We start from the raw sequence: 12,763 nt of genomic DNA on the forward strand, positions 1-12,763 counted from the left end.
ATCAATATGGGATTCAAATGTTTCCGTGTCACTCATCATATTCTCATAGTTTGGAAAAAAATACCTCACTCTTTCTCCCAAAAATATTTAAATCTGCCATACATATTATATATTGTATATGTACAACAGGTCCATAAATGCAAATTTTGTAACTTTAATCACTTTTGCAGGTTAGCATAGATTTACAGCAAAAGGGAAATTGACATAGAATTAAATAAATTGTGCAGTAGGGAAATGAATTTTTTTTTTTTTTTTTTTACTGCTCTTTCTCAAACTCTAGACTCTGCCTAGAGTTTTACCATTTGCTATGCTGCCTCACATATTCCAAAAATTATTCTAAGAAAGAGTTATTTGGAGAGTTGATTTAGTTTATAGAGCAGCTACTCAGAATTGAAAATAATCAATAGTACCTTAAGATTCAGGCTCTAACTGGATATTTAGGCAAGAACCCAAACAGACAGTTACTCCTATAACGACATTGAGTAAAATGTAGAGAGCATGAATGTAGCAGCCCAACCCATCTGTTCTTTTTTTCTAATTTTGAAGAGGTTATTTTTATATCAGTCTTTGGAATTTTTAGTTCTGTCTCTGCTATGCTACATAAATACTGATGCTAACAGACTAAATTTAAAAAAAAAATAAATTGTTGATAAGAGGAAGAGGAAATTGCGAGATATAAACCTAGCCATTTTCCCATTTAGGTGGTATTTCCTTACTTTTTAAATAAACTCTATGACTTTTACTTTCTCACTATCTCCTCTCTGCATCAGTTTTCTTATTAAAGTCTCAACATTTCTGATAATGAATGTCTCTAGAATTTCTTTACAGGAGACATTTAGGGGCAGCTACCTAAAACAGGAGAGTTGGGGGGCTTATTTTAAACCTAAACTGAAATAATAGACTATTTATTTATTTATTTATTTATTTATTTATTTATTTATTTATTTGGCAGAGTCTCACTCTGTCACCCAGGCTGGAGTGCAGTGGCATGATCTTGGCCACTAACATCCACCTCTTGGGTTCAAGCAATTCTCCTGCCTCAGCCTCCCGAGTAGCTGGGATTACAGGCATACACCACTATGTCCAGCTAACTTTTGTATTTTTAGTAGAGACAGGGTTTCACCATGTTGGCCAGGCTGGTCTCGAACTCCCGACCTCAGTTGATCCACCCACCTTGGTCTCTCGAAGTGCTGGGATTACAGGCATGAACCACTGTGTCCGGCCTAATAGACATATTTTTAAATTGAAAATATATATTACTGATTTTAAAAAATAAAGATTTCTAAGATGATTTTATTCAGGCTTTACATAAGATTTTTAAAGAGTCCAATTTCCTAATATTATTACTAATATTATTATCAGAATAATTATTCTGGGGGAGACTGGTGTTAAAACAGTTCCCACCATAGCTGATAATATAATAAATTGCATTGGCTAAGTGTAATTTATGAAACAATGTACAGTGGAGGCTCCTAACTACTTATATGAAGACTCCAATCACTTCTGAAATTGCATATGCATGTATTACACCAAAATTATAGAATAATATAAATATACAGCAGTCTATATATTTATTCAATTATCAATTCATTCACTTATCAAATATTTAAAATGTTCCTATCATACATATAGGTGTGGATATCTAAATTCGCACATGAGCAAAGCAAAATTAAATGGCCTATGCCATTCATCTGAAAAGTTAGGCATAAACACTCCACTGAAAAATCCCTTTTTCTAAGCCCTCTTTGTTCTCATCATAGTTAAAATGATACCTTCTTTTTACTTTAGAAACTAACGTTCAAATATTGTAACTCTTTTACTAAATTCACGGTGTAGTGGTTAAATGTATCACTCTGGGGTTAAGCTCCCCAATTTTGTTACATACTTGCTGTGTGTCCTCAGAGAAATTACTTGACCTTGCTGAGCTTCAATTTCCTTTTTTTTTTTCTTTTTTAAGTTATTTCTTTCTTTTTTAAGAAACAGGGTCTTACTCTGTCACCCAGAGTGGAGTGCAGTGGCACAGTCATGGCTCACTGCAGCCTTGACCTCCTGGGCTCAAGCAATCCTCCTGCCTCAGCCTCCCAAGTAGCTGGGACTACTGGTGTGCATCACCACACCTGACTAACTAAAGAACTTTTTTTTTCCATAGAAACTAAGTAAAGACATTTTTTTTTTTCCATAGAAATAGCATCTAGCCATGTTGCCCAGGCTGGTCTCAAACTACTGGCCTTAAATGATCCTCCTGCCTTGGCCTCCCAAAGTGCTGGGATTACAGGTTTGAGCCACCAAACCTGACCTGAGTCTGTTTTCTCAATAATAAAAAAAAAGATATTAATCGTACCTATCTCATAGGGTGGTTGTAAAGATTGAACTAATGAATACATATAAACTACTTAGAACAGTGTCTTGTTTGTGGTGCGCCCTTAATGCAAGTTTAGTATTCTTCTGACTGAAGCCTTATTTGTCTTCATTAGGTCTTCCACAGGCTTACTTTCCTTGTCTCCCATAATCACCCCTAAACAATTATGGGCCATACTAGCTCAGCAAATAAGATCATTAAACCAATAATTGTACCTGTGTGTATTTCTGTATAATTAATATGCGTTCTTGGCTAGAAATTCTTAAAGGTTATACTGATGTGGACACCAAATCTAAGTGATAATGCCAAATTTCCAGATTTCTTATTTAACATGTTCCAGCTCACTCGATTATTATAAGAGGTTTTAAAGTCAACTGTAATTTCAGGTATCTATTGGAAAATACAATAAATATCCTCTAAATGATAAAAAGATAGAATAATGCATTAATATAGCTGAAATATAGACTTGGAAGGCAACAACAGCAGCTGGCTATGACCTTTTTATTGAGAAAGTGACCCAGAAAATGGCCGAGGAAATTTCATCATTTATTTCCCACTTCTGAACCAAAGTCTCAGATGCCTTTAAATCCCCATAGGATAAAGTTGGCTTTAGGTTGTATATAAAATACAAATTGAGTAAGGGAATATTTTTTCTTTACTGCTCAGATGTTTTATCAGCTTTGAATAGAAAAACACACTAATATTTATTTCCTTAATATGTGCACATCAGCTTTAATTATAATCAATCCTTCCATAGACGGATTTCATGGGATTTAATGTGCTACCAAATGCAAAGATAGAACTTGCTAATTCTCTACAATTACACATTTATTTCTGGGCATGTGGGTATAACCGCACCTCCATGCCATGTTCTTTCTATATTGCTACAAAGCACTATGGATTAAATTGTAGGTATGGAGTACCATATTAATTTGGAAGTTTGAATGTCTAGAATATTTTATATTTAAGTACAGATCACACAGAGTGGACACTCCCTAGTTAAGTTGTTGAATGGTTGAAACAGGTCAAGATAAATGAAGCCGTACGATAAACTATGGAAGACAAAAATAACCTGTCTGTAAATTTGATTTTGGGGCTAAGGTAGGTTTCTTTTGATATCACATTTATTCCTGTGTGAAATATAAGTATTCTGTGTTCATAACAGAGTGAAAATGTATACATTTATTCAAATGACTAATATTAAGAGCATCTACTGTGTGGACTTATGAAATAATATATATTTATTGCATTCACAATGCTTATATTTGAGTAGAGAATAAAGACAAGGCAATTAAAATATAGGGGTATCTTATAACTGAGTTTGTACACTTTGACCATATTTTGTACATAATGGGTGGTGGTGGTTGTGTTAATTAATCCAATTGTATTCATCATTACACAATGTGTGTGTATATATATACATAAAAATAAAATCATCATGTTGTACATCTTGAATATATTCAATCTTTATTTGACAATGAAATATTTTATATACATATATATACATATATATATGCAAGTGCTAGGGATAAGCAGAAATGTATCTGGGGACATGGAAGGTGGCTCTGTAGGATTACTAAACATTTTGAGAAAAATCACATTTCAACTTCACCTTTGTAAGAGGTTGTGCTGGGCTTCCTTTCCAAATGAAATGCGGTGTGACAGAAAATAGACTCATGTAGCTCTCTTTAGTGGGATAGCTTTCTTTCTCAACATCAACTAACACATCTCCTAGGTGTCCTTAAAGTTTCAACCTATAAATATTCTACCTCATTAAGCATAAGGACCAGCCATGGACATATGCCGCTAGTGTCCACTTTCCTTCAGAGATTTAGGGTGATGAGAAGATAAAGGGTCTGCTTACCAGATGGAGCTTGTCAGATTAGCAATTGGAGCAGAGTAAATATCGCTGTCATATTGTTGTTTTGAAGCACAAAGAACCCCTTTTGTATAACGCATGTGCATATTTAATAGTTTAAAACAAAAAAAGCTCAGCAGAAGGTTGGCTGGTCGTTGTACCTCTAGCAGAGTGGCCATTGCCTGAAGGCACGGTGCTGTTTTCCTCATAATAGGGAACATTAGCAACCAGTGGCTTGAGAAAGGCAGAGTCAAATATGTCTCTTGGGGCCCAGTCGGCCACATGAAGTGAGAGCCGTTAGACGCAGCAATGAGATTACTGCTCCAGAAAGGGTTTGCCACATATATTACTGCAGAGGCTTTTCAGGGCTGCCAGCGCACTCAACTTACAAATGTCAAACATGATTTAAAAGGTTATTATACTATCAAGAGGGAAGGAGAATGATTTTCCATCACTGAAATTTCTATTTCATTCTGTGGCACATACCGCATCTCACGAAGGCCAATATTGCTAAATAACCTGCTTTTATCTTTAATAAGTGTTTTATGGACCTTAAATTGGAAGAACCATTTCCACTTTATTTGTATTAGAAAATTTGATCTTTTCTGGTTGAATAACAGCATGAGAGATACAGTGTGTGTATCTGTGTATTGTGCTTAGCAGATTGTTCTTTGAGGGGAGTAAATTTGTCTGTGACGTGTCAGTTAGGGAGAGCGTACATACGTAAGCTGTAGTTTTGATAAATGCATTTGTAAGTCTGCAGTATTTTAAGCTAAAAATGACCAGGTGCAGTTCTCTGTACTGCATTACTTATTTCTCTTTGGGCTTTATTGTGACTGGTATTTAAAACAACCTGCTTTCAACCTCTCTGACCCCTTTGGGAATATTTATTTGCTCAATAAGGACTCTATTTGTTGGCCTCAATGAGTTAATTTAAGTACAATTGTATTTGAAAAGTTGCTCAATAAAAGCAGAAGACGATTTTTCTTTTATTTTAGGGAGATTTTCACTCTTGTTTTGTAACATTTGAAAAATAAATAATCTTCAAGTGTGGCTGTTAAAATGTGCAATAAACACCTTATTGTCAATGTGGAATTTTTAAACATTGCCTTTGCAGTCATAAAAGAGGCCAAAACAAGGGATTTCAACTGCCCTTTTGGTAGCATTCTTCACTCTATTTCCTAGCAAATCACTGATGGCTTTTTCTGAGGGTGAGACTGTAAAACTGAAGGTTGCCTACATTTCCAGGTCCCAGAATGTGCCATGCACAGCAATACATCAGCAATCTAAGCTGACACATTTGAGGATGGTGTTCTCAGGTGGGATGTAAAAAGGACAGAAGGATACAGTCTATGGTGTTGAGATATTGTCTGTTCCCCCTTTATCTGAGACTCTGAAGCATTAAATTAAAATCTGTGAATTCGCCCATGTTCACATGGGCATTGTCAAAATTAAATTAAAGCTTATGGAAGGAAACCTTCTCAGCCTGAAGAGTAGCACCTTTCCTCCAAGTTCTGCACCGATTTTGTCATTTGCCAAAGTGCAAGTCACAACAAAAGGAAAAGAAAACAAACCAAAAAAATCTTTGAATTTTGAAAAATAATCAGACTTCTTTCATGGGACAATAGCACTAAAAATTTAAATTTATTCGACGTTCTCCAGATGGAGTATGAAATTAGCTTTCTAACATTTGAACAAGAGTGAACCTGAATATCTACATAAGGATTAATATGTATGTCTGTCTGTGCCCTTTTATTCTTTTGAAGACTTTCTGTAATATATACTGATTTCAGGTAGCTTCTTTATTGTTATATAAACAAAAATAACAAATCTAGAGACACAAAAATATTTCCAGTTTAGGAAATAATTAGAACATTCTATTTTTCCCCCTTCTTTTAAAAAGTAACAATAGAAAGAAAAATCACTTAAATATTGAATGATAATAAATATGTTTTATCTTAGTTTTGAAATTTGATGAAATAGTAAATTCATTATAATAATGTATTCATATATTCAGTAACCAATGACATATTTATGTAAGTCTTGAATGTTTTAATAATCCTATTTAAAAATTTTGAAACATTATTTTTTCTAATTGGATTAAAAACTCCCTTTTACAAATCTCTCACATGGTTTCTTGTAATTGAAAACTCTTATAGTACATATGAAATACAATTCTATTAATAAAATATGCATTCATATACACCTTTTTAAAGCATTCAATTATTTGGGCAAAGCAACGCAAATGTATAAACTCAAAGATATAAACTATGATGGTTAATTTGATGAAATATATCTCACATTAAACTGTAAAATGAAACAAAAGTGTTTCTTCTATAGTAAAATCTTAGCTTCTCTTAAAATAAACACACATTTTTAAAAATCCTGTGTGACCCTGTCTTAAAGAGGTAAGTTCACTAATAGACCAGTGAACTATTTTCTAGAAACCAAATTCAATTTTGAATTAAAATCATGGTCTAAAAAGATGGAGACATATACCACATAGCATAAGTTTCTAAAACTTATGTCAGTCCATATATGGGAGAAAGTTATCTTTCTACTATGATTCTACAATAAAAATATTCATTTATATCTCACAACTTAGTAAATAAATCAGAGGAATGTTTAATCTTAGAATGGCTGCAGTGAACTGGACAATCATTCACCCCAACATTTTTTTCTAGAATTCTTAAATTGAAAATTAAATGTCATGCTAATAGTGTTTCGCTTCCTTTAGAAACAAAATCATTGTTTACAAAAGGCACTCTCTTTGCATCTGACAATACGCAATTTCATTTTTCATTCTAGTTATCCTTAAAAAATTTAATAATGCATTCTTGCCACCTCTTTCCCAATGCCAAAATAGATACCTTGTCACCTTAAAATATTTCACAGAACAATTACAGCCTTTAACATGCAGAACATAGCTGTCTGAGAAATAGGGCACTTTCTGGTGCTTGTGATATATAAACTTCATTGGATAAGAAATCAAGTGCCTCCTACATGCATCCTGGCCTCGTTAATTTATGTTGATGGCTGGTATGAAAAAGATAGGGAGGTGGCAAACTGGTGAGTTGTCTCTGACCAAAAAGAATTATTTATTTTGTTGGAACAATGTAACCTAACACTAATATTACTTTTTATTTAATATTGGAAAATTATACATTAGATAATGTTTTCTAGAAATTAAGCTAGCTATTTTAAAGTAGAGTTTACCATCTTGGCTAAGGGATTGCAAACATAAAAGCATACAGGGGTGAAGTGAATCAAGTCAAAGTGAATGGCTGCAGTGAACTGGACAATCTAAGCTATCACCAAGGACATGTTTCTTTCAACAGTCTACTGACAGCCTTCCCCAGGGCTCCCATTGCTGGCTTCTTCACGAAGGCCTGCCATTCTTTATACTACTTATCAGGCTTTTTGAAAAAGCAGGGGTGGGGGCAAGGTGCGGTAGCTCACACCTGTAATCCCAGCACTTTGGGAGGCTGAGGCTGGTGGATCAATTGAGGTCAGGAGTTCAATACCAGCCTGGCCAACATAGCAAAACACCATCTCTACTGAAAATAGAAAAATTAGCTGAGCATGGTGGCGGGCGCCTGTAATCCCAGCTACTCGGGAGGCTAAGGCGGGAGAATCACTTGAACCCCTGAGGTGGTGGTTGCAGTGAGCTAAGATCACACCAGCTACTCAGGAGGCCAAGGCAGGAGAATCGCTGGAACCCATAAAGCGGTGGTTGCAGTGGGCTGAGATCGCACCACTGCACTCCAGCCTGAGCAACAGAATGAAACTTGTCTCAAAAAAAGAAAAAAAAAGTAGGAGTAGGGATGTTTTTGTCAAATCTAGGAAATGTGAAATTTCTTCTAGAAACCACCTGAATTATATTAAAAATATTGACAATATATGAGTTTTTACCTTGATGAAAGGAGATATTTCTTTTTTTTTTTTTTTACTAAATTGCTTTTATACAAAGTCTACAAATTAAATCTGCATATAAGGAGAGTTAAATTTAAATATTAATTTTAAGATTTTTGGAAAATGCGGCAATCGTTCTTTTCATGTGAGAGATAACAAGTCTAAGCCAGATATTTAGTCATGTTCTATGTAGGCAGGAAGATCTCATCTGGATTCCCTGGCCTTCTTGGCATTCTGACTCACAATGTCTTCATCAGTTTTCTAGTGATAGATGAATAAAAGCATAATAAAAGATAAACCAAGGGCATCGTCAGGTGTTCAGGGGAGCCTAGGCATTAGTCTAGGTGGGAGAAAGAACCTAGACTTCCTAAGTGGCCTGGGACTCCCAACGTTGTGTCAGTGACGCTGGATATATCCAAATAGACTGATAGGAGAGCCCTGGCAGGAGAAACAGAGGAGCATGGATGCTGGATACTAGACATCAATACTAAAATATATGTTGAAAAATTTAAATAGTACCAGTTCTGAACATTCTTGTGGTTTCATAACTTTATAGAGCTATGATATATACTAAAGATAATCGCCACTTATCATCTTCAGTGAAACGAGTGGGGCCAGGGATTTTCATAGCTTTCCAAAATCTAAAATGCCTCTATTGTGCACAGAATTTGTAGGTTACTTGGACATACTGTATTTCTCTCAGATTCTAACTAATTCTTAGAGAATTGTATTTCTCTCAGATTCTAACTTGTACTTAGAGAAGTTAAATAACTGACTATATAGATACATGTATAGAAAATGGTTGATCTGGGATTTAATCCAAGGTCAAGATTAAGACTTAACCAAGATTCAGTCTTGATCCAAAACTTTTAGTCCAATATTTTCTCGACCATAAATCAAGAGGTTAAATGAACATTGGATTCTAATTCTGACTCTACTAATGATGGGCATAGGTACCCATATTATAGGGCTGAGATTCGGCTATTTATTGTTTTTTTTTTTTTTTGCTTTATTTTGTTTTGTTTTAATCCCAAGTAATTTCAATTTATAGCTAGGATTGAGAACCACTGGCTTAAAATCTAAGAAAACTTAATTTATTTTCCTTTTCCTTTACTTTCATATATATTCTAATAAATGCCAGTTGTTACTAAGCTTTACATATATATACTCACAATACATAAATACGTAAATACATAATTCACAGAAATAAGTTTATGTGCTTAATTATCCATCTCAAAAGCAGATTTAGAGGATTTAGGAGAAATGCAGCATGTGATACCAATTACAAGAAGAAATGGGAAATATTCTTTTGTAGTTGGTTGTTCCTAAATTCTGGTGTTTTCATCTGGAGGGACTGAAGAGAACTTCTATCCATTGATTATCTATGATGTGCCTTCATGCTTATGGAGAGATTTATTCATTCAGATTCTCCTGGAAGAAGCCACTGTGTGATAATGAAAGTCTCATAATTAGGGTTGCCAAGTTTAGTACATAAAAATACTTGTATTAAATGTGTTTATCTGGTAACACTACTACTAAGAGCTTGGCTCTCAAATTCATCTCTGGTCCAGGTTTTTAGCTCTCTTCCCAGATGAGTCATGGCAACTGCCCTGTCTGCAAAGGCAAAACATCATCCTTCTCTTCTTTAGAGACACTGACCTAGCTGAAATGTTTCTCTGGACAATCCAAGAGGAATCAAACATTTACATCAGCAAGAACCACATTTGTGTCTGTGATACTGTTGAAGGGTCCATAGAGAGATAACTGATTTTTAAAGCAGTGGTACTTGTAAAACAGCAACAGTAAGGCTTAAAATAAATTAATGCCAAAAGTGATTTCCTTCATTCCTTAATGTAAAATCTTCCTGCATGTAATTCATAGTAACTGAAAATGGAAAGTAAGTGGTAGTTAGACAGTAGCTCTTTTTTCCATTAAAAAAGTTTAAAAGCTTCAAGTTTGTTTTCTATGTACGGTCTAACATGGCCATGCAGATATTCTTCATTCAAAGTTAGATCCCCTCCTAGGGTTTCAGTGACTGAAAGAGGAAAATTTCCTCTTATTTTACGTTTCCTTTAATGGATCACGTATCAAATTTTATGTACACATAAACTCAAATTAAGAGCCCGTTTATTGCGAAATTGTCCTTAAAAAGCTAAATCTAACATTGGTAAAATTTAGTCCCTATTTGTAGCCTGATGGTATCTAAAAAAAAGTTTTGGGTAAAAGTAAATCTCTACACCTTCAAATTGAATGTTGCAGCCAATTGAGAACCTATGAGAAATTAAATTGAGAAAGATGTTTTTGAAGACCCATTTCGGGAGAAATGAATTCCTGTGTCTTGAGAACTCTAAAGCAGATAAGAAAGCAAGGCAATGGATCTAATTCTGTTTGGAGCATAAAATTCCTGAAATTGAGGATATATAAGAAAAGATTGATCTTGTGTCTATTTGTCTTGAAGTTCAGTTCAAATCTGGTTCTGGAGAAAAAGAAAGATATTAATTTCCAGACAGAGCAATTGTGTCTTTCAGAAAAATTGTGCATTTCTTCCCAATTGAGATGTCTCAAAATTAAATGGTATGGTGCAAAGCTTCATTATCTTGTTTCTCTTAAGATTCAAGCCTTTTTTTTCAGAACAGTTATCCAATATCCTAATAGATGAAACATAATTTAGAACAACCCTGTATTATAAGACCCAGATTTACCAATACAATATCTATTTAAATATAGAATTACTATTTAATATAGAATTCAGTGTGGATAGTAGTTTTGAGCTTTAAGTGAAAAAAAAAAAATAAAAGAACAGAAACTCCATAATGGATTAGGTCTAATACAGCCTTTTGGTCATGAGTGAAGAGGCTAATGTAATATGAGCACTCATGAGTAATCAGATGTCTTCTGATGAGTGAATTGAAATGTCATAGCAGAAGTAATCCACTATACATTTTATTATGAATTTTTGTGGGTAGGTTTAAATTTATTTTCTGGCTCATTTAATTTATTTAATCAAAACAAAATCTAAGATGCATGGAAAAATCAATTTTGGTAATAAGAGATTTACCCCAATATATTTATTCATTTCTAATGTTTTCTTTTTCTCATTAGTTGACTGGGTTATAATTTTTGCTTGTCATTCTTTATAGCTTTGTTTCTGGTTTTTGCTAAAGGCCACAAAACTACATACATCAGGTATTTCCAATAATATTGTACTATTGTATGTGCACCGGAAATATCCCGGTGCTTTCGGTAGCTCCAATCAAATATGTCTTATACATGATTTGTCAGATTCCACAGATAAACTGTATATTTGCAAAACTGGATTTTAGAAGATTTAGTCAATTAGAAATATATGTGGCTATGTAATTGGCTTCTATTGTTTTGCTCTTAACTCATCTAAGATCTAATGCTAAGTTCATCATATCATCATGATCTTTGGTGAGAATGTAATTGCTGAAAATGTTTTGAAACCACTGGGTCAGTGATTAAGAACGAAAGGGATTCAGCGTTAAATCAAAGTTCCCATACGACAGTCATCTTGATTCACAGGAAATGGGGATTGAACTGGGTTCACTTGAAAAGTACTGAACCTCTTAACTTCTCAGGGTTCTTGTTGTATGTTAGTAGGATATGCTTTAATGTGGATCACTAATCTCTTTTTCATAATCATTTGTTTCTAATAAACAACTGTCTCATTCTTTCGTCTTTTCATACATCACTCAAAACAAATGACTCAGGGCCGGGCGCAGTGGGTCACGCCTGTAATCCCAACACTTTGAGAGGCCGAGGTGGGCAGATCACTTGAGGTCAGGAGTTGGAGACTAGACAGACCAACAAGATGAAACCCCGTCTCTACTAAAAATATAAAGATAGCTGGATGTGACGGTGCATACCTGTAATCCCAGCTACTGGGGAGGCTGAGGCAGGAGAACTGCTTGAACCTGGGAGGCGGAGGTTGCAGTGAGCTGAGATCACCCCATTGCACTCCAGCCTCGGCGACACAGCGAGATTACATCTCAAAAAAGAAAAAAAAATGATTCAGAAAATTTTAAAATTTTTTAAGTTTTTATCCTTCTTGAGCATATATATGTGACAGCCAGGGGAATTCCAGATGTTTTTCAGCTTATTTTTATGTCTGACACCAGATACTACATAAATAAAAACAGTTAGAAGTTTTGTTTATTGAGTATTTTTGTGATTACATATCTAGACAACTTTCAAAACAACCAGTCAGTGGTTTCAAGTATGCTTTCATCTCCATCTTGTATCATATCATTCATATATTGTTGGCAAATGATGAGTTTTACCTGTATTATTTGGAAGCATTTTATGAAGCCAGTTTTAGAAGTTCATTTAAAGAAACAGAAAAGCTCATATGCCTGTCTCTAACCAAGGACACAAGAGCAAGTGAATGAGGGTGTTTTAATTTTTATTTTTTGTCTTACTTTTCAATTCACACATAAACCAATATGGAAGTAGTACTATCTAATGTGGAAGATAGAAACCTATATATTTTTAAATATTTTTGAGTGAGTGTGACTAGACAAGTCAGATAGTTTATCATTTTCATTCTTAGGCCATAAAGATCCCTCTGGCAAACTGAAGAGTTTAATGACTACATATTTTCTTAAACTTTAACT

At 34.4% G+C, this 12,763-nt stretch overlaps 1 protein-coding gene across 41 annotated transcripts in view, besides 1 other annotated feature; it reads left to right on the forward strand.

The window, feature by feature from the left end:
- ROBO2 (roundabout guidance receptor 2) overlaps window positions 1-12,763 on the forward strand; it is a 1,743,290-nt gene that overhangs the window by 1,393,270 nt on the left and 337,257 nt on the right. The gene's annotated exons all lie outside the window — the stretch shown is intronic.
- Window positions 10,856-12,055: an enhancer, noted in NCBI's record as "CDK7 strongly-dependent group 2 enhancer chr3:77359951-77361150 (GRCh37/hg19 assembly coordinates)". NCBI's record gives its function as "activates an origin of replication core promoter dependent on BRD2, BRD4, P300/CBP, MED14 and CDK7 cofactors, with strong dependence on CDK7, by STARR-seq in HCT116 cells {active_cell/tissue: HCT116}" and the evidence as "EXISTENCE:reporter gene assay evidence [ECO:0000049][PMID:35650434]".

Source organism: Homo sapiens, chromosome 3 (genome assembly GCF_000001405.40).
Source record: "Homo sapiens chromosome 3, GRCh38.p14 Primary Assembly".
NCBI classification, from domain to species: Eukaryota; Metazoa; Chordata; class Mammalia; order Primates; family Hominidae; genus Homo; species Homo sapiens.